A 22,551-nucleotide genomic window follows, 5' to 3' on the forward strand; every position below is an offset into this window, starting at 1 on the left:
GAAAGTAAGCTACTGAGATCTGGTAGTTACACTTTTCTTCCTCAAGACCACAGTCGTTGTGGCAAAGTATGCTCAGCTTCACATCTCATCATTTCACATTCTGTATCCTAAATTGTTAAAAACTAAATTGTTTTCAAAAATTACAACTGAAGGCTGGGCACGGTGGCTTATGTCTGTAATCCCAGCACTTTGGGAGGCTGAGGTGGGCGGATCACTTGAGGCCAGGAGTTTGAGACCAGCTTGGCCAACATAGTGAAACCCCATCTCTACTAAAAATACAAAAATTAGCTGGGTGTGGTGGCATGAACCTATAGTCCCAGCTACTCAGGGGCTGAGGCATAAGAATTGCTTGAACCCAGGAGGTGGAGGCTGCAGTGAGCCAAGATCGTGCCACTGCACTCCAGCCTGGGCATTAGAGCGAGACTTTGTCTCAAAAAATATAAAAAAATTAAATTTAATTTAATTTAAAAAATAAAAATTACAACTGAAATTCATCAAATGTTTGTTTCCTTTCCACTTAGGTGCATAGAATTTGGAAAACAGACAGGACCTTATCTGGTCCAAATGAACAGATCAAACCATCTTTTGGAGTATGTAAGATTATAATTAATGTAGATTCTAGTATATGTCCTATAATATTGTATACCATCAGATTTGATAAGTGTATGATCTATGTATTTAAGCCAATAATAAATATTTTGAACACATCAGGACTAATGACTTCACAGTACTCAAATGGTAGGAATGCATGATAAATTTTCTTTCTTATTTTTTTTTTTTGAGACAAGGTCTCTCTCTGTTGTCCAGGTTGAAGTGCAAGTGGCACGATCATGGCTTACTGCAGCCTTGACCTCCTCAGCTCAAGAGATCCTCCCACCTCAGCCTCCCAAGAAGCTCGTACCACAGGCGTGTGCCACCATGCCCATCTAATTTTTTATTTTTTGTAGAGATGGGATATTCCTATGTTGCCCAGGCTGATCTTGAACACCGGGCTCAAGCATCCTCCCGCTTCAGCCTCCAAAATTGCTGGGATTATAGGCATTAGGTGGCATGCCCGCCTGGCCCAATTTTTAATCAACTCAACAGTTCTACTACCTAGTCTACATTTTAAAATTTGTATCCAAGTATGTACGTGACATATTGTATATATGCTTATTATATACCAAATAGAAATGCTCTTATAGATGAGTATCAAAAATAAATGAAGCACTTATCCATTGGAAAAGAATTAAGTGGAAATGATGGCAAATGCCTACCTGTACGTATTTGTGAATGTACCAAGAAGCTTGCTTTCCATCATTCACCGATTCCACTGTAGTGTTAGCCAAACCAACGACATCACCACCTGCAAATACCCATGCTTCACTAGTTTGCATAGTTTCTGGATCTACTTCTGGGAGACCCCATCTGTTAAATTTTATAGGGCTCAAGGCTTCTTTTACTGAAAAAACAAGTGAAAAACAATAGACAATCACTAGTCAACAGACAATTCCATAACAATAATTTTAAAATTAAGAAAAATTATGGTTTAATTATTGTTCCAGGGATTCAAACAACTGTTTTTAGTAAACTATAAAAATGAAAAGCTAACGAAATATTGGAGTTAACAACACATTTGAAGGGCACTGACTTAACTTTACACCTCACATACAGGAATTAAAGACCACAGATTTGGTCAATGTTTCAGAGCGGACATTTATGTCTACGAAGTATGGATCTATAAAGAAGGAAAGTACAACCTTTTAAATACATACAAAATACATTTTTCTAAAACTTTATTCATAGCCATCATTTTTACAAATCTGTTACTACTTATATTATCCCCAACTTGTTCATGTGTGTCACTTTTGAAAGTTACATCATGAATTCAGGTCAATGGCTAATCTCCCTTTTACAACAAAACATTTTATAAAGCAAAATGAGACAACATATATAACATTTTCATTAAATTATTTGCACTTACTATTAAGCAATTTAATGGATCTAGTATACAGTTACATTTAGCCAGCAATTTCTGCTTTGTTTTGTTAAAAGCAACAAATGCAAACATTACCATTAATTCCTTGTGGAAATTGCTCTGTAAAGTAGTTTTGCAATTATTTACTAAATATGCTGCATTCTAATGAATCTAAAAGAGTCATGGAAGAGGAATGAAGCTGTGTTTCTTTAAGAAAAATATCTAACGAACATTTTGAAAGCATAATCCTGACATGTGGAAGAGATCAATGGATGCAATTTAGAGAAAGGGTTGAGTAAGAGAAGAAATGAAGAAAGGTGGACAACACCCTATTTGATGGAGTAAACTGAGTAAGCCAGTGTTTAGGATAAAATGTTCTCTCCAGGTAACGTCATAATTTTTAAGCACAGCATCTCAGACAGACTAAGGGCCTTATTCTTTACTCCAACTCCAAAGAGAAAATATTAGTAACAACTTAAACTAAAGGAAGAGAGCTTGGGAGATTTTGGAACAGAAAAGTTAGTTGTTGAATTTATTTATGAATCAAGTATAACACAAAATAGCCAAATACAAAAAATGTTATTTTTGACACCTAAAACCAGTTTCTTCTGAGTAAAATAGAGGAAAAAAATAGAAATAAAATAAACACTGGTATATATTTGTAGCTTTCTACTTAAAGAATGTTAGAGTTGTAGAAAATTATTGAGGGTTTACTGTTGATTGTGTTTTTCCCACAAGATCATAGGTTCCATGAGAACAGCAATTTGTCCACACTGCTTGCCTGTGTTCCACAGAGCACACTACAGTTTTTGGAGCAGAGGACACTCAATTGGATTGATGGATGAATGAATGAATGAGTAGATGGGTCAATGCTATCATACTCAGGTTTTTATTTTAAAATCTTCTACTGTTTCTATTTGTTTTTTCGTCTTTCATTGAGAGGAAAATTAAATATTCATGTAATTATTTTCAAAGCAGAAAGGCATTTTAAGGAAATTTTTCTAATGTTTTTAAAGGTCACATGAAAAGAGATCTTTATCATTTGTTCCCTGTTGCATAACAGATCATCACTACCATCTGTTGACAGTTACTTGAGTTGCAAGAAAGTCAATAGTGAGTATGGCTCATCAATTCAACCTATTTTAATAATGGCAACTGTAACACATCATCATTGAATGATATATGTAATGAGCTTTATAAATAGTGGCAAGGGGTAAAAATGAATTCTGTTCTATCAGAAATGATCTTATGTTTCCAAAACTTTGGCCTACAACAGATCTGAAATAAAGATAATTAATAAAAAGATAAGAAATTCAAAATTTTATCACTAGGAGATCAAAGCATTTTTTTTTACATTTATCTCATGTTTCACAGCAATATCCTTGAAATTTAAGTAGAGATTTCATTCTATGCTTGAGCAAGGTAGGAATAATTCCTTAGTTATCTCTGAGTCCCACAACATAAATTAGAGTCAAAGACATGTTTACAGTCGGCCCTCCATATCTGTGGGTTCCACATCTGAGGATTCAATCAACTGTGCATTGAAAATATTTGGGAAAAAAATAGAATGTTTATGTCTGTACTGAACGTGTACATACTTTTTTCTTTCCATTATTCCCTAAACAATATAGTATATCAAGTATATATACAGCATATACATTGTATTAGATATACCATAAGTAATCCAAAGATGATTTAAAGTATATGGAAGGATATGTGTAGATTATATGCAAATAATACACTATTTTCTATAACAGACTTAAGAGCATAGATGGATTTTGGTATCCATGGGGGATCCTGGAACCAAGCCCCCCTAGATGTGAAGGGATAACTTTATCATGAAGTTACTGAAGCTTAAGTAGGGTCCCTCACTTGCATGGGACTCTTTCAAAGCCCTGCGCCTAATTTCAAATCTATGAATTTTTCTTTTCTTAAAGAAGAGCTCTCAAATTGTATACACTTCAGGCCTCATAAAATTTGAATCTTCACTTGAGCACAGTGAATTGTACACAGGAGGTGCTGAATAAATGCTTCACAAATTAAATTGAAGTTCTTGAAGAATGTGCTTTACCATATTTTAGGATGCAAAAAATGTACATAGAACAATTCACTTTAACACTCCACCTGTCACAAACTCGGTCCATAAGTAGTCAGGAAATGTTACTCTGAGTTTAATAAGTAACTTTATGTTTCTTAAAATATTTAGCACCAACATCATAAGCCACCCTAGGGGCATTTATTTGTGAATTCAAAAGCACTCTTCTGCTCATGGGCATTTCTATTGTATATGCATTGTGTTATTATGTATCCTTAAACATTCATAATACTCATGTATACTTTTAAAAATAAGCTTTCTTTCCTTAATATTTGATTTATTTATTCTGTGAAGTCTTAAACCTGAATATCAACTGTTTTAATTATTTTATCATTTGTAATATCCAGCTAACCTCATTAAAAATCAAACAATTCTTTGATACTCTATTCTAAAATAGAAAAAGGATTTTCTTTCATATTAAAAATCATCTCAGTCTCCTTTTGAAAATTAACTACCAAATTTCCTCCTGCTCATTTTGGAGACCTTCAAGTTTAACATGTTCCTAATTTCATTCCAGAAATAAAAAGAAAAAGCTGAGAGATCACACAGCTGGTTATGAGGTTACTAACATCAATCAAAATAGAGACCATCTGTATATATTTTAATACCCAATATTTGGCTCATCAAATATCTACAAAAAGATCACTAAGAAAGTAGAATATGGACAACATTTATAAATATAAGCAATGCTACAGTGGGTCAGAAATATTTCTTTCAGTAGCCCTAAGCACCAAGAATGACTATCACAACTGGAATATCAAATGGTTAGGATCATTTCCTTGTACATGTAGTAGACTCTAAGCACATGTAATATTCATATATAGTATGAATTTGATTCATACTATATATGAATTTACTGAAACTTTGTTAAATCTGGAGCTAAATACCTTTCCTAATTTCAACAATTCTTTTAAAATATAGCCATTATTTTAATTATTTAATCATTTTCTTAAGCTTAGAACTCAAATCAAGGATTCAGTGAAAAAATCCACGTGCATGTTATTCATAATTTCTCAGAAAGGAATTCATTTATTTAGTTGCTCCTTATGAGGAAGACTATCATCCTCATCATTGTAACTGTTCTTCTATGAACTCCTCAGAGCTCTTTTACATCTCTGCTGATAGATTTAACTTGGAATACAATAAAAATAAAACTCAGAAGCAAATCTTCTGTTCTGTCTTTACCCAGCTTGGAAGGAGTGAAAGCATAAGTGAATGAAAAATGTATATTTACATCTGCAAACCAAATAACTGCTTGCCATTTCCTCTGAAGTGTTAAATGAATATTAATAGAAGGATTGTATTATTCCTTTCTTGTTTATAAAACGGGGGGGATTTTCTGTTATGTTCATGCACAGTTTTCTCAGATTTTCCATGAGATTGCATCTTGATGGAGACTGTGGCATATGTCCCAGGAGCTCCATAGTTGAACAGAAAAAGAACTTGAAAAAGAATCCCAAAACATGCTTATTCACAGTCTATATTATTCTGCAATTGGAAGAGAAATTTGTTAAATGATATGGTGCCTGGAATTTTATGCAGTCTTTATAAAGAATGAAAACGTCCTTAATTCATACCAAACATTCAAGATTTATGTTAATTTTCTGCTTTAATTACTACTATGTTCAAATGAGCTTATTTAAAAAACAAAGACACTCTGAGGTAGCTTTATAACAAGAAACGGTTTTGAAATTGGAACTTTTAGTCAATTTAATGCTGTGCATGAAATGATTTTTTATACAGACTTAATGGTATTGTGACACACAAGTTCTTCAATAAGCCACAGCTTAAAATTGCAGAAACCGTCCCTCAGGGACACATCACTAGCAGATGCAGATTGCCAAGGTCAATTAAACTGATGTAGCTGTGCTGTCACATATGTAAAAGAGAAACCCACAAGCATATGACAAGTATATTTCTCAGTTTTTATAAAAAGATGTCAAGAATGTTATATTTTAGTACACAAATATAAATTAATTCTCCATAAACAATAAAACAATACAACAGATATCATAATGAAGAAGGATTATTAGTATTCTTTGGAGAGTTTGATGTGTTATAAAACAATGGGGGGAATAAAAACTTTCAACATTTACAATAAAATGATACCTTGAAAACATAGATGAATTCATCTATGTCCTTGTTGTTTAATTTTACATAACCTATCACCCACTAGGACCAAATCACAATGAAACTAAAAGGTGTGCTGAGGCAGTAATCTCAGTAATTCAGCGCTGAAAGCAAAATCTCAGCAAGATCAAAATAAATTCTAATTACAAGGCCAGGATATCAGAGTTCTGTTTAAATAGAATAACCTGGGGTAAGGAAGGGCCAGAACCAGAGAATGCCTCCAACTAAGAATATCAAGTCTGGATGGCTTGAGCTTTGTCTTCACATCTCCCTTCCACTTCTCAGTACTTTAATCAGTATGCTCTCCACAATGAAGATTCATTGTTTTCCTTCTGCCAGTCTCTCAGAAGATAACCTTGATTCTGTACCTTCCTGCTCCTCCAGGTCCTCAAACACTGTCTCTTACTCTTTTCAGTATATTGTATGTGTCATTTTCTCCTCTCCTCTCCAATTTGAAAAAAACTTTGTTTTTGACATGGTTATCTTTTCTCACTGCCATTCTTATATCTTCCTTTACCCAATTTCTCGGTCATATACTTGGACTGCTTACTTGTCTCACCACCAAATTATTCCTTGAATGAAAGTATGGTCTCCACGGTCACCAAATTCTGTGACCTTAGTCTTCAGCTCTTTTGCCTTTCTGTAGCATCCAACAGTTGAATGGCATTAATTTTGATCTTTTTTGATTTGCAGAATGCTCCTCTACCCTGGCTCTGCTTATCTTTAAACTGTCCTTCTTGGGCTCTAGCCCCTCTTCACCTCTTCATTTTCCTCTTCTCAGCTCTCAAATATTCAGTCCACTGCACTTTCTCTGTCAGAAATCATAGTCATTTAGGGCCTTCAATTTCATCTCTATAAAGATGGCCTCGAACTCTCCCTTGAGTTCTTCCTTTTATTCTGGAACTTCTGGATGCCTGTTTAAGATTATAACCTGTATGCTCTAATGTCCCTTCCAAATCATCACATCCAAAACTCAGTTCACAAGCTTCCCCTGGGCCTTCCCACCTCATGATTTATTATTGGTGACCTTACTCTTTCATTTCCTCCACTCATTGTGAACACGTCTTACCTTTGCTTCACTCCTCAAAACTTCTATAGACTTGACTCCTTTCTCTTGCCCCCACTGTCAGGAGAAGGCCTTGTCCCACAATTCACAGAGAATATAAAAGCCATCACATGGGAACTCTCTTTTCTTCCCATCAGCAAAACTACAAACCTACTGGATCTATACCTTCGCTCTCTCTCTCTTCCTTTTTAATACCACTAAGGAACTCTCCCTACTATCAGAAGCCATTCTCTCCACATGGGCCCAAGAATCCTCTCCTCTGACCTGGTAGGAATTTTGCCCCTGACACTATATCCACTCTCTTCTCTATTACCAGCCACTCTCTACAAATTAGAGGTTTCCCATATGTAGGTACATACATGTACAGTAGTACCTCCCAATTTAAAACCATTCCACATCTGCATTTGACTCCAAAGCTTCACTAAACCTCTTTTCACTGATATGATTAATTGGTTCCAGGTCGCCAAGTCCAGTGATTCTTCTCAGTGATCATCTTGCTTCAGAGCCTGAAATAGGGTGAGGTGAGTGAGGCAGACAAAGAACAAAATTTAAGGAGGTCCTTACTCTCAGGGTCATGCAAAGGCAAAGTTGTTGGACAGGCACCTAAGGTGCCTCCCCCTTGTTGTGCTCCTTGATTTCTCAGCAAAATTCAACAGATAACCACTTCCTCCTCATGAAAGTCTTTTAGCCTGGCTTCTGTGACATCATACTTTCTGCTTTCCACCTGTCCTCATGATGCATTTTTAATAGTCATTGCTGCTTTTTTCTATTCCCTTTTTTTTTATTTTATTTTATTATGATTTTTTTCTTTTTTTTATTATACTTTAAGTTTTAGGGTACATGTGCACATTGTGCAGGTTAGTTACATATGTATACATGTGCCATGCTGGTGTGCTGCACCCACTAACTCGTCATCTAGCATTAGGTATATCTCCCAATGCTATCCCTCCCCCCTCCCCCCACCCCACAACAGTCCCCAGAGTGTGATATTCCCCTTCCTGTGTCCATGTGATCTCATTGTTCAATTCCCACCTATGAGTGAGAATATGTGGTGTTTGGTTTTTTGTTCTTGCGATAGTTTACTGAGAATGATGATTTCCAATTTCATCCATGTCCCTACAAAAGACATGAACTCATCATTTTTTATGGCTGCATAGTATTCCATGGTGTATATGTGCCACATTTTCTTAATCCAGTCTATCATTGTTGGACATTTGGGTTGGTTCCAAGTCTTTGCTATTGTGAATAATGTCGCAATAAACATACATGTGCATGTGTCTTTATAGCAGCATGATTTATAGTCCTTTGGGTATATACCCAGTAATGGGATGGCTGGGTCAAATGGTATTTCCAGTTCTAGATCCCTGAGGAATTGCCACACTGACTTCCACAATGGTTGAACTAGTTTACAGTCCCACCAACAGTGTAAAAGTGTTCCTATTTCTCCACATCCTCTCCAGCACCTGTTGTTTCCTGACTTTTTAATGATTGCCATTCTAACTGGTGTGAGGTGGTATCTCATTGTGGTTTTGATTTGCATTTCTCTGATGGCCAGTGATGATGAGCATTTTTTCATGTGTTTTTTGGCTGCATAAATGTCTTCTTTTGAGAAGTGTCTGTTCATGTCCTTCGCCCACTTTTTGATGGGGCTGTTTGTTTTTTTCTTGTAAATTTGTTTGAGTTCATTGTAGATTCTGGATATTAGCCCTTTGTCAGATGAGTAGGTTGCGAAAATTTTCTATTCCCTTTTTCTTTTCTTTTTTTTTTTTTTTTTTTTGAGGAGTCTCACTCTGCCGCCCAGTCTGGAGTGCAGTGGCATGACCTCCGCTCACTGTAACCTCCACCTACTAGGTTCAAGTGATCAAGTGATTCTCGTGCTTCAGCCTCCCAAGTAGCTGGGATTACAGGCGCTTGTCACCACGCACAGCTAATTTTTGTATTTTTAGTAGGGATGGGGTTTCAGCAGGTTGGCCAGGCTGGTCTCAAACTCCTGACCTCAAGTGATTTACCAGCCTCGGCCTCCCAAAGTGCTGGAATTACAGGCATGAGCCATCGCATCTGGTCCCATTCCCTTCTTCAAAACTAAAAATAGAGCTTACAAATCTTAGTATAATCCATGAATCTTGTTTCCAAATATATCAACATCCAGTCAGTTAACATGTTGTGCCAATCCATCCAATGAAAATTTTATCCTAGTTACTTCTTACATTCCATTAACATCACTGTCAACTAAAGAAGAATGTTAGAAAAAATAATCAATCAGCACTTATGGATCTCTAGTACATGGCAGGCATACTGCTGGATATTTCCATAGAATATCTTATTAGATCACAAAAGAACCCTTGAAGGTGGATATTATCATCCTCAATAAAGCCAAGAGGTGGCAGAGGCAGTATTTGAATCCAATTATTTCATCTCCAAAGTCCTGCTGCTTCTGACTTTGGGTGTGGGGGCAAGAGAAAGCCAGAATAAATAGACTCTCCACAGTCTCATAAAATTCAGCATTGGGGATCATGGGAATAACTAAAGTGAAGACAGGAACAGCAAAGAATTCTAGTCTTGGCTAGCTTCACAGATTCAGCCTTGAGAGCATCCTTTCCAATGAAACCTTTTTCCCCCCCTTTCTAGTGAATTAACCACTAACGACTTTCTGTTACGCTAGGCACTATGTGACTTTATTTCAAGTATTTGTTTTACCTCTACTACTCCTAAGTTCAGATAACTTATTTAAGTCAGCTACTTCCCCCCAGCATCTAGCATATAATTGGCATATAAGGGGAATCTAGTATATGTTTTTTGGTCAAAAAATGTAGTATTTGTCCATTCCATTTATTTAGCATTCATATTATTCTGTCTTAGTTATTTTTCTTGTAGATCTTATTTTCACAATTAGTCAGTTCATCATGTGGAGAAAAAGTATTTCTACACTGACAAACATACTGACTAGGGAAGAATGGGCACATAGTGAATTTCTTTTGATCAATTTAAATATCTGATTTTCCTACTGCTATGGTTAGATAATTTTCAGTTTGAATATGCTAGTAGAATTCAGTCAGGGTAAAATACAGATCTGATCTTCTCCCTCACCCTATTCAGGATAAACTTAGGCTCCCCAAGTTGAATGGAAACGATGGATGTCAATAATAGCCTATAGCAACTCCTTTTGTGTTATTTGTATTCTATTGGAAGTTTCATTTCCACTTCCTAAACTGACCAACAAACCAATTCAGAATTAAAATAGTCCAAGCACTTCACCTTGATCTGCTTATGTCTCTGAAATAATTCTATCTATTTAAGACGCTGAACTCCTTGAACATTGGATTTCATTTTACCTGGAAGAGATCTCCTCCAGGAGGTCAGTGTCCTTGAAGTAAATATATGGGAATTGTTTTCAAATTCTCTGTTGGATTCCCAAATGCTGTACTTTGATTTGCTTATTTATATTCAATGATACCATCTCTTTAAGACTGCAAACTGCTTGAAGGAATAGATCATCCTTTAATCTGGTTTGGACCATAATCATTATAATTCTATGCACATTTGGGTGCTTAATATTTCTTGATAATTATGAGATAGTGAAAAAATAGCGTATTGAAATATTTTTTGTATACTTCTCAGCAAACAAAATTTTTTAAATGCTCAATTATGTCATCAAATGATATAAACAATTACTGAAAGGGGTTAAGAAAAATGTTTCATATAAAATTCCCATTTGCTGCATTTAACGGAAAAATAAAAACAAATAGGAAACCAGTAGTAAATTATACTACTTGTGAAAACAATATTATTAAAATATAAGTGAACACTGAAAAATATTTTAATTAACAAAATAAATCAAATGGAAAAGATTCCCTAAATAGAGCTTTAAAAGTAAGTCTATGTGTGTCTGACTGCCATGACTAATTATGTATCCATGTAATGTGTGTTCAATTTGGGCTTATTTAAATAGCAGAAATGCTCATTAGCTGCAGTATATCTGTGAAGCTTCAGTAAACAGTTTAATGGTTTTTATGTTTAACCAATTTCATAAGTTCCTGTAATTTTAGCTTTAGCAGCTCATTAATGTTATTTTTTGATATCCATCTTACGGCTTTTTTTTTTCCTTGTCAATCGTCAGTAGGCACACTTCAATGCAAACTTAAAACACACAGTAGAATTTTGTTTAAACAATTTTAGTACATAAGTAAATGTGCAATTCAAAAGTATAGTTTCTTTATATAGAGAACTAGCTGTATTATCATGCACTCAAAAAATATCAACATTGGCAAAGGCTATATCTAATGGGGATAAAACTATAATAATGGAAAACATTTATTGAGCGCTTTCATCAGCATGTAGCTGGCTCTAGGCTAGGCACTGTATATACTATCTCTTTGGATCCTCACAAAATAGGTATAACTCAATTTTATAGTTGAGGAATGTGAGATTGAGATAAGTTACCAAGGTCACACCCTTAGGATTTAAACCTCACTAGAAATTAACTACATATGTAGTTGGAAAATGCCTGAAAAATCCACAGAAGCATTTGGAGATACACACCTAGACCTCAGATGAAGGCACTGCAACTTGGGATCAAATAAATCACAAGGCTGGGTAAAGTTTCCAAAGAAAGAGTGCAAAAACAGGTGACAATAGAATCATCCACTTATTTTTAAAGTGTCAGCAAGCATAACCTGAACTAAAGCTAGAGAATAATTCCTCAGAGTTACGTGAGAATCAAAATATTTCTAAGCCACAAAAGCCAAGTAAAGAGGTAAATTCAACAAGTATTAAATACAAAAGAAATATAATGTAGGTAAATAGATTGATGACGTGGAGGTCAATGAACCGTAAAAAGGTGACACTTGCAGTTAAATAGTAAAGGCAAAAAACAGAATTCTGAAGTTATGGACAAAGTATCTGGCAAAGACATAAGACAGTGTACACAAGCTATTCTTCCCAGGTGTTTCATAATTTTTAATAGGAAAAAAAGCAAGGCATTACCTTGCCTTCATTCATTCAATTAGCAAAAAAAAAAAAAAAAAATTGTTTTTGGTCTCTCATGTATTACATCCTGCTGCAGGCACCGTAGTAAACCACAGATAAGAGACCCATCCTTGTGTGTTGTAAATTTCATCTGGCAGAAGATAAAAAATGAAAAGTAAATAAGTAAGTGAACTATATGATAGTGAAAATGGTTATGAATAGGGTTACATGAAAGAGACTAGTACAAGATGAGGGATGTGAGAAGCAGAAGGGGTGCTTTAGATCATAGCAATTATGGAGGGTCAGAGAGCGCCTCTTTGATGAGATGCCATCAGAGCTAAAACATAAAGGATAAGAATGAACCAGTCACGTGATGACTTAGAGGCAGATTATTCCAAGAAGCGGGAACAGTGGCAAGGGTGTTAAGGATGAGATGCAGTTATAGCACGTGAGGAGTAGAAGGAAGGTTTTATGTGGGTGAAGGAAAGCAAGTGAGACAAGAGAGGAAGTCTGAGAAATAGGCAGGGGCCAAACCAAGGAGTGTGTTAGAAACTGTAGTAAGAAGTTTGTTACAATAAAATAGGACAGCATTTGTAGATTTAGAACAACAACAAAAAAGAAATTAAATAATCTCTGTTTAGAAGCTCATTCTGGTAGGATTATATGGAAGTGAGAGTAGAAGCAGGATGACCAGTCTTAGGAAACCATTCTCAATGCAAAGAGAAAGCATCCAGCGTCTGACCATTCCCTGAACAGAAGGAGGGCTGGCTGGCCTTCATGACACCTCACAAATACAACACTTTCACATGATTTTGCCCTTACTGTTAATTTTCAGTACAGACATTTAGAATAAGTCACTTCATTCTTTTCATTCAACCATTTATTCATCTCTTCACTCATTCATCCATTTGGTGAATATTTATTGAGTTAAGGACTGTGCTGGATCTTTGGGTTAAAATATAAATAAAGTACCCTGCAGTGGTACTGTCAATATACTTCAGAATATGTAAGATATACAGAGTGAAATAGAAGAGCAAGAATCAAAAAGGAGAAGCATATTTAACTACATGGTCCCTATATGTGTGTAGCAAACATATTTAATCTACGTGCCTCTTTAGATTTCCAGTACCACAATTCTGGAATAAAATTCACATAGTTAAACACTAAAAACATTTCATGAATTAGCAATGATATGTTTTTCCACCCTTACTCTATTATTTCGCATATACCTTATAATCTAGACGAAGAAACTCCCCCATGTATTCATCCAGCCTGTTTACTATAACTGGAATGGGCTTTCAATCCCTGTCTCTGTTCTCCTAATTCCTACCCAATCCTCAACTATTATAAATGTCACTGCCTCCACAAAACCTTTTAATTCTTGCTGCTGCAAGTCATCTCTCTACCCTGTATGTTACACCAGAAATTTATCTGTTTCTCCTGAGTCACTTTCTACCTAAAGGTAACTTTATTTGCATGCATCTTTCCTCCTTTATTAGACTGCAAGCTCCTGCAGATGGGGACAATGTATTCATTTTTGTGAACTTTAGAGAACCTAAAAGAATCTTGTATAATTAATACAAAACACATATAATAAATACAGAATGAAAGAATGGGAAGTAACATCCCACAAGTATGTAGGAGGGCAGATTAGTAGGATGTCAAAATTAAATTGAAGCATTTGGTTTTAATCCCACCATCAGGGAAGAATAGTTTTAGATTCCAAAGTATGAGAGTAATGTGATGAGACTGGTGATGTAAAGTTCATTTGGCATCAGTATGCAAATACAGGGAGAAACACTGGGTCATGTTAAACCAAATGAATTGTAAATACACTTTGAGGAGGGCTTGGAAAATCACTGGATATTTGGCAAACACTTACTATGCAACATGCTTGCCATTCTTTCACATACTTGTATGGAAAAAATGGTCAGGTAAGTCTTGAAAACACTTTAAAGAGCTTTAGAATTACAAAATATAACAAGTATGGTTGTTAAAGAGGAAAAAAAGATTAGCACTGGTTAGCATTAATCCACATACTGTTAGGCAGGATCCCCAAATGGATGTTAACATTAATACTGGTTTCCTCCTCCAACAATGGCAGTATATTACATTTGAATTGAGTAGCTTCCATATTTTGGGAGTAGATATTGAATAAGATTTAATGTAATTTTCTAATTTATACAATAGCATATATGCAGATCAATGTCTTATTTTTTTGAGATGGAGTCTCACTCTGTTGCCCAGGCCAGAGTGCAGTGGCATGATCTTGGCTCGCTGCAACCTCTGCCTCCTGGGTTCAAGTGATTCTCCTGCCTCAGCCCCCCCGAGTAGCTGGGATTACAGGTGTGCGCCATTACACCTGGCTAATTTTTGTTTTTTCAGTAGAGACAGGGTTTCACCATGTTGGCCAGCTGGTCTCAAACTCCTGACCTCAAGTGATCCACCTGCCTCAGCCGCCCAAAGTGCTGGGATTACAGGCGTGAGCCACCATGCCCGGCCAAATATCTAATTTAACCAGAGTATTTTAGATAGGGATGTTGTCCTATTTATATTGTGCTTTGAGTCAAGAACAGAAACACAAAGTAATTAACAATAATAATCTCACTCTGCAATACAAAATACATATAATTAAGAACCTTACTATACTCTATATTATCATTTTATAGTTTAATTAAATCTTACATCTTGATTTTACATCTCACAGCGGCTTAGTTTTAGTTTAACATTTCACCAGCATGTTAGGTTTCAGAATAACCTTTTACTATACTATAAGCTAACTAGTTTTTAAAATAAAAATATTATAGGCTGTGGTCAATAAAGCTCAGTTTATCTATTACACTCACCGTATCTATTACATTAAATACATCTATTACACTCACTGTGTGTTCAAAACCATTGGCTATGTTTTATGATTTCTGTTCTCTGAAACAATTACGTTATTTTTTCCCATTTTCTACCTTCTTTCCCTAACAAAACTTGTTACATGCCACTGCTCTACTTCTTGTATGTAATCTTCAATTTGATGGAAAACTACTGATTTATCCACTGTCTCCCTGTAAGAATGCATATGATATCAACCAGTAGTGAAACCTGGAAAATAAAGATAAGGAAAGGCTCTGAGCAGAGCTATTCACTGGGGAAACAAACCTATTCCTATGCAGTTATTAGAGGGAAGTAAAATAATTACAGAAATATCATGTTGTGCTTCAAATGGATATCTAAGGCAGATGTAAGTGATGTGGTGTTGATTCCCAATCACTTTCAACACTGTTATCAGTTTGACCTCCATCCTCATCACCTCCACCCTTTCAAAATAATTCCAAAGAAAACCTGTGCAAGGATTCCATTAGTTTGGATAGTTATTCTGCAGAAATGCCAGTACTTACACTAGATTCCACCACTTCATCCTCACCCTGCACAACATATTTCGTAATAGAAAGATGATAAATCTTTCAACCAAGCAAAAATACTTCTGATAATCAGAACAATTTTTGAAACATGTACAGTGTTTCAGTTAGGTTCCTGAAAATTCTTCTTGCCCAAAATATAATTAAAGGCAAAGCACTGTACAAAGAAGGCAAAAATAGTTCATTTTCATCATTTCGCAATCGGTACACAGGATCTATCAATGTTATTATTCAGGCATTTTAAAACAACATGGCAGCACATGAGGAATCATGTGTGTTATTAAAAAGCGAACAGGTGGTAGAGAGAGTACCATGGAATAAAACTGTCCCTTCATGTCATAACCTCCTTAAAATATTTACCATCAGGAAATCAACAGTAACAAAAGCTGACCTTTTTTCTCTTCATATTATGGAATATGACAGGCTTCTGGATTTCCAGAATCAATGCCACATATACTCTTTAATCACACTCTTAAGAAGCTGTTATTTAAATGATAGGCTACAACACCTTTCATTAATTAATTAAATCAATGAACAGCTCCTGCTGTAGGCATTAAGGTATAGTAGTGAAAAGACAGGAAGATGATGTGTACTAATTCCCAATGTCTGTTTTCAGTCATTCTCTGTTTCCTTAGTTCTAGTCCCCTGCTTCAGTTGTTCAATAGCAAATCCAAATTCAACACACCACCATTTCACTCAGATCTCTTCTATCTGTGAGTTCTGTCAGCACTATAAACACCTGTTTACCTCCCAGCTAGCTACCCCACATCCAATCTCTTTATCAAGCAGATAACCAAATCCTGACTATTCTACTTAAGAAATATATCTTGATTCCAAATTTTCTCCTGTATTTCCACTTCCTCTAACTTAGTCACGGTAACTACTGAAAAAATTATTTTAATCCTTTAACTTGTCTTTCTTAATTCCAGGCCATCTTTCCCAAAATTACTGACACTGTAGTTCCACACTCCTGATGTTGCCTTCCATGTAAAGAAACAATCATTTGTATAACAGTCAGGGTGTCGCATTGTACCTTTCTCGCCTCTCTCCAAAACACTAAAATAGAATCCAAATTAGTGAATCTGGAAGAAGAAATAAGGCATATATAATCCACCCTGGTCAAACCTATAACTTGAGAGCTGCCCATCTGAGCATAGGTTCTCAGTCGCCCCTGATACTGAAAATGTTACTGGGTCAGCTTCTCATAACGGCATTTACTGTGTGGGATCATACCCTGTGACTGAATAACCACCTAATTCAGGTCACCAAATGTTAGAAAATGCATTTGCCTACTAACATGAACCATCTCAAAATGTGGTTGCTTATTTTCTAACCCCCAACTATTTGAAGATTATTACAAATGGTGCACAATCCAAGCAGAGAGAAGGAAGCTCTAACACCTGCTAGAATTACCTCATTCAAGACAAAGAGCTCTTCCTTATTTAAACCTCCTCATTTGTCACCTGCATGTCTACAGCATAAAATTCAAAATCCCTACTTTAGCATATAATCCTTTGACTCCACATATATTTTAGCCATATTTCCTGCCATCTTATCCCTACCTGCTCCCTACCCTTATGTAACCACACACCATCTGGTCCAGCAAAACAGAATGCCTCCCCGTTGTCTGGGCATATGAGGTCATTTTGTCGGCCCATACTTTTGTATATGATGTTCTCTGTAACAGGAAAACTCCTACTCAAGCTCTAAAACCCATTCCAAATGTGATCTCAAATTAGCACACTGTGTTGCTATATATGTATTTACATGTCTATTTCTCTCATTAGCCTATAGGTCCCTGAAGGGCAATGACTCTTTTACTTGTGTCTGTATTCCTAGTGCCTGAGTAGTGCCTGGAACACAGTTGTGCATCAAGAAATGTTCATTGCATGGTGAATAATGAGAGAATGAATAGTAGAAATCATAAAATAAAAAGTTCTATTTAGAAATACAAATGAAAAATTCAGACCATCATTTACGAAGATGAGAACATGCATGAAGTAAGTAGGCTGATGACAACTTTCTAAAGACATATATTTTTTACAGCTTTTTAAAATGACTGTAAAATGACTATTTAATCTAACAGTGCGGTGTTGAGCAAATTGCATAATCTCCCTGTGGCTTCCCTCCCTTCCACCCCCGTTCCACCTGGAAACTCCTACACATCACTCAGACTTCAATTTACAACCCACTTCCTCTAGGAAGCTTCCCTGAATGCTTAGACTCTGTTCTGTGCTTCCTCGGGAATCTAAACTTCTCAAAGTACAATTTATTGTAATTCTGAGCCTCCCCTGTTAAAATGTGCATTCTTGGAGGCAAAGTTTGCATTTCTCTTTTCACTACTTTATCCCTGAAACGTATCTTTAAAAAGAGTCTGCACTAGCCACCATACGTTATTTAAAAACCTGTGAAGTGAGGGGATTAGAATATATGATCTCTAAGGTCCTTCTAGCACATTCAGAAATATAAATAAGGAAAATCCTAATGCAAGTTATTGTATTGTATCCAGTGTATTATACCGGACTGATTACTTTAGTTCTTAATGTTAGGTAAGAATGTCATTCATTCTTACTTATATTAATCCTTAATAAGTCCCTTCCTCTAATGTTTTGCCATTAGTCAAAAAGGTATCCTAATTAGCAATATAATGCAGTATTCTTTAATCTGTTCTTTGAAACTTCATTGTAAATATTTGTTTATTAAAATGCATGCAACAGTGAAAATTTGATGAATTATGATAGTTTCTCAAATTAGTATTCAATTTTTCCCCCTTCCCCTTTATTTTTGATATGAGAAATTACGTAAGCTGAAGGTCATAAAGAGTGGTTAGTTGTTCAAAGAAAATTTTGCCACCAGTAGCTTCTATAAGATATGTTTTGTTGTTTGAAAAATAGAACATGATGTTAACCAAAAACTGTGGTTTATTAAAATGTTCTAGCATTCTCAATTTCATTATAAATTACCAAATAAGTTACATTTTAATAAGGAGTAAATCAAATCAAACATACTGATTCCAGGTCTTTTAAAACATAGCTAACTACCATTTTTGAATACCTAAATAATATAATGCCAACATTAAAACATTTTTCATAGGCTCTTCCCAACACTTAAACAATTGAGAAAAGAAAAATGGACACATTTGAAAAATTCTTGAATTTTTGCATCGTAAGAATCTTAGCAGGCCATTTCTTGCCTAACTGGCAATTTCTAGTTCTGAGTTAGGCCAGAACAAGGCAAATTAACCCATGGCCTGCACCTTTTCTCAGTATGGGGGCAAGTGAATCAAAGCTACACTCAAAGCTGCTATTGACAGAATGTTTGATTTACCCCATGAGGCTTTCAAAAACTTTTCTGAGGGCCTTCTAATAAGAGGAACTGATGAGTGATTTAAAAACCTTTTTTTTTTTCCTGCAAACACTCCCTTATGGAACTAACTGCAATCAATGTTATCAAGGGAGCTGATTTCTGAGAGTTGCATTTAAGATTCAGAACTATCTAGGTTTTGTGTTTCCTTGTTATCTCTAGTTCCCAGTGAGTGAGCAGAAAGAAAATGTAAGCAGTGGGTGAAGTACGTAAATTCCTTTCCTAACAGAAGGGTCGTATCTTCCCTGGCTGTGCCCTGAGCTCAGTCACCTTGTCTCCGCTCTACTGAGCAGTGTGGTGCAACATGATGCTGAGTCCCTCACCATTCATCCTAACATCTTCCTTCCCAAAACATGGGTTTTTAATCTTAGTTATGTAATCCCATAATTTTCAAGCATTTAAAATCTCAAACTTAGTTGAAAATTCAAAAGTGCCTTTCTTGTCTTAAAATACAAATGAATGATCCTTACACTAAACAAAAAAATGTGGTCCAATTTTCACCATTTCTAAGAGGAAGAACAAAAGTCATTTAAAAATATGTGCTTTTTACATACCTCATTTGCAGAAATTCAAAATGGAGATTTCTTTTTTTTTTATTATACTTTAAGTTTTAGGGTACATATGCACAACGTGTAGGTTTGTTACGTATGTATACACGTGCCATGTTGGTGCGCTGCATCTGGATCAAGAAAATTTGGCAAAATGGAGATTTCTAACAACTAAAAATAGTTGAAAAATTGTTTTCGATGGCATGAAAAACATTAGAATTGATAATAGTTTAAAAATATATAATACAGTTACAGACTGTTCAATCTTTTTTTCAGGAAAAAAACTAACCAAATATATTGAACAATTTCTCATTAAAAAAATCATGAATGTATGAGCATCTGCTTCACTTATTTACAAAGTCATGTTGACAGAGCCTCCAAAGTTCCTGATGAAGTATTGATATTCAAATGACTTTATTCCCAAACAACATGAATAGCTACATAAAAGTTAATATAAATCAATTTAATTACTAAAATATGGTTTTGTTACAGATTAATAATAACATCTGTAACTTAAGCTTACTATATGCTACGCCTATATGTAAATGATTTACATATATTATTAATTCATTTCTTCTAAATAACTCTAGGATATTCATACTATAGTCATCCCCCTTACAGCATGAGGACCATGAAGAACAGGTAGACTAAGTAACTCATTAAGACGATGAAGTTAGAAGGAGGACAGCCAGGTTTCCAGCTGGGGCAGCCTGGCTCCAGAGACCCCACTCTCAGCCAATATACCAGATAGACTCTAATTAGTGTAATATTTATTGTATTATGAAGAATACAACAATTTATGCCACAACAAAGGAAAAATTCAGAGCAATAGAATAATAGAATTATTTTTCTAACTTTTACATTTTCGAAGAAAAATAAACCAAGCAGATCCCATCATAGGAGAAAATAGTAACTCATAAGAAAATTAATACCCTAACATGAAGCAAGTCAAGTCAAATGCACAAATATTTTTGTGGATCTATTATGGGCACACTAATATGTCAGTTGCTATTGGGACTACAATTTAGTATAAAGGTGCACTCCTTGCTCTCCTTGGGGTTTATAGGATAATTTGAAAATAAAATAGATTCCGGAAGATCACAGAACATAAATCTTTACAGAGTCAAAATTTCATATAATGAAAGAGTGGTTGTGGTACAGGGTATGGAGGAGGCACAGAATCACAGAATGAGCTAAAGTACATTCATTCAGTTGTCTGAAAGCATATTCAACAAATCATAAAATTATGTCATCCAGATCTCCTAGGAATGTGAGGACACAGGCAACCTTATTGCCTTGGTTGTAAAAATGAAGCAGTGAGATTAGTGAAAGGGTGGAAGAATTCTTACTAATGCAAAACTAACAGAAATTTGGGCCCACTTAACAACTGCCAGTTTGGTTCCAACAAGAAAGAGAAGGAGAGATACACTATAAAACAAACAATAAATCGATTAAACCTGACACTGTACCAACAAACAAGAAGAAACACAATTCAATTCAATAAATATTGAAAATAGTGTTTAGCAGAAGAGGAAACATCCTATATTAGGAAATATATATATTTATATCATATATAGAAATATATATTCATATATTTATATTATATTTATATTATACATATATGTATAATAAAATATACATATACATATTTTAAATAAACGTTTAGAACTTTCCAGTGAATGGACAATATTTGTAAAGCAGAAATGCAGTTACAGAAAGTTTGTGCTTAATCTCCTGATAGCCTTTACAGTCTATCTAGAACAACAAAATCCCAAGTTAATGTGACGTGATATGGAGTCGTACATTCTTAGAGGGAATAGAGGAGACTTTTTAAAAGTAGAACCATTTTGAGTTTTTCACAAGAAAGATATTTAAGGCTGACGTTATATCAATTGAGTCAGAAATTGGACACCATTGCCTTTAAAATTTGAGCTAGTGTTTAATGAAGTATTCAATTAAATTATGCTGATCGGCACATAACATATTCCATGCACATGGATATGGAATATGTAGTCTTTTGTTCCTACTTCCCACTCCCTGGTACAATCCAAAAAGTGATGGAAGAAACAGAATTATGTAAAGTAATGATGATTACTTATCACTCTTATTATCCTTAGTGGCAACGAAATAATTAGCAACTATAATCCCAAACTCTTATCCAAGTTTATTTTATAAATGATATACTTATCTTTTCTATAAGCTGTTGAGGCACTTATCATTTTATGATAGGGAATATTTATTACAGATATATTAGGTGTATAACACTAAAAAAGTTATTTTACATTCTCCATTGTGAAACAAATTTAGAAACTTACAAAGATTGTGGAATATTTCAGAAAAAACTGACATTAAAAATGTAATCTCCTTTCAATTTTCCAATTAGCTTAGCTTTTCAAGTTCTTATTATTGATATATTTGAGATTTTAAAAGTATTTTCATTTACAATATTATTGCAACCAGAGACTTCTGAGAGTGTAATTTATCACTGTACTTTATATGTACTCTGTCAAGTTTACTTCATTACTTGAATTTTTCAGTATGTCTTTATGTAATGCATTTACCAAAGATTTTCTGTGTTGCCACTATGGAATGTTCCCTGTGCTGGATGCTGGCAGGAATAATTCAACAGGGAACAGAAGAAAATATAGGTGGATACACAGAATGTATATAAGGCCATTTGCTGATGTTCTCAAGTGTTGAGAAGTGGAAGCTTTATACCATAGTATAAGATAACATTGGTACATTTAATAAATATTATAATTAGAAATTTGAACTGGGGTAAAATTTTGAACTTTGGCTATGGGGAGTACTAATGGTACCATTTGCAATAATAGTGAATTTGAGAAAAGATCTGTTTTAGGTAAATCTGATAAGGTGAACTTTTTTTTTTTTACTTTGTGCAAATCTCTCTTAATGTACACATTCCTCACTTTGTAATAAAATTAATTGATTACAGATCTGCCTCCACCCTAGTCTATGGAATTTTAAAGCCCATGCAATGACTCGCTCATTTTCAT

The 22,551-nt window shown here is 35.0% G+C and overlaps 1 protein-coding gene across 6 annotated transcripts in view; it reads right to left on the reverse strand.

Annotated features, from left to right (window-relative positions):
• DPYD (dihydropyrimidine dehydrogenase) overlaps positions 1–22,551 on the reverse strand; it is an 843,317-nt gene that overhangs the window by 470,561 nt on the left and 350,205 nt on the right. For all 6 annotated transcript variants that reach the window (XM_047448077.1, XM_017000507.2, XM_005270562.3 and 3 more), the window contains one exon: positions 1,257–1,441. In XM_047448077.1, the coding sequence (XP_047304033.1) occupies positions 1,257–1,441 (185 nt within the window). The remainder of the gene's footprint in view (positions 1–1,256; positions 1,442–22,551) is intronic.

This window comes from Homo sapiens, chromosome 1 (assembly GCF_000001405.40).
Source record: "Homo sapiens chromosome 1, GRCh38.p14 Primary Assembly".
In the NCBI taxonomy this organism is placed as follows: Eukaryota; Metazoa; Chordata; class Mammalia; order Primates; family Hominidae; genus Homo; species Homo sapiens.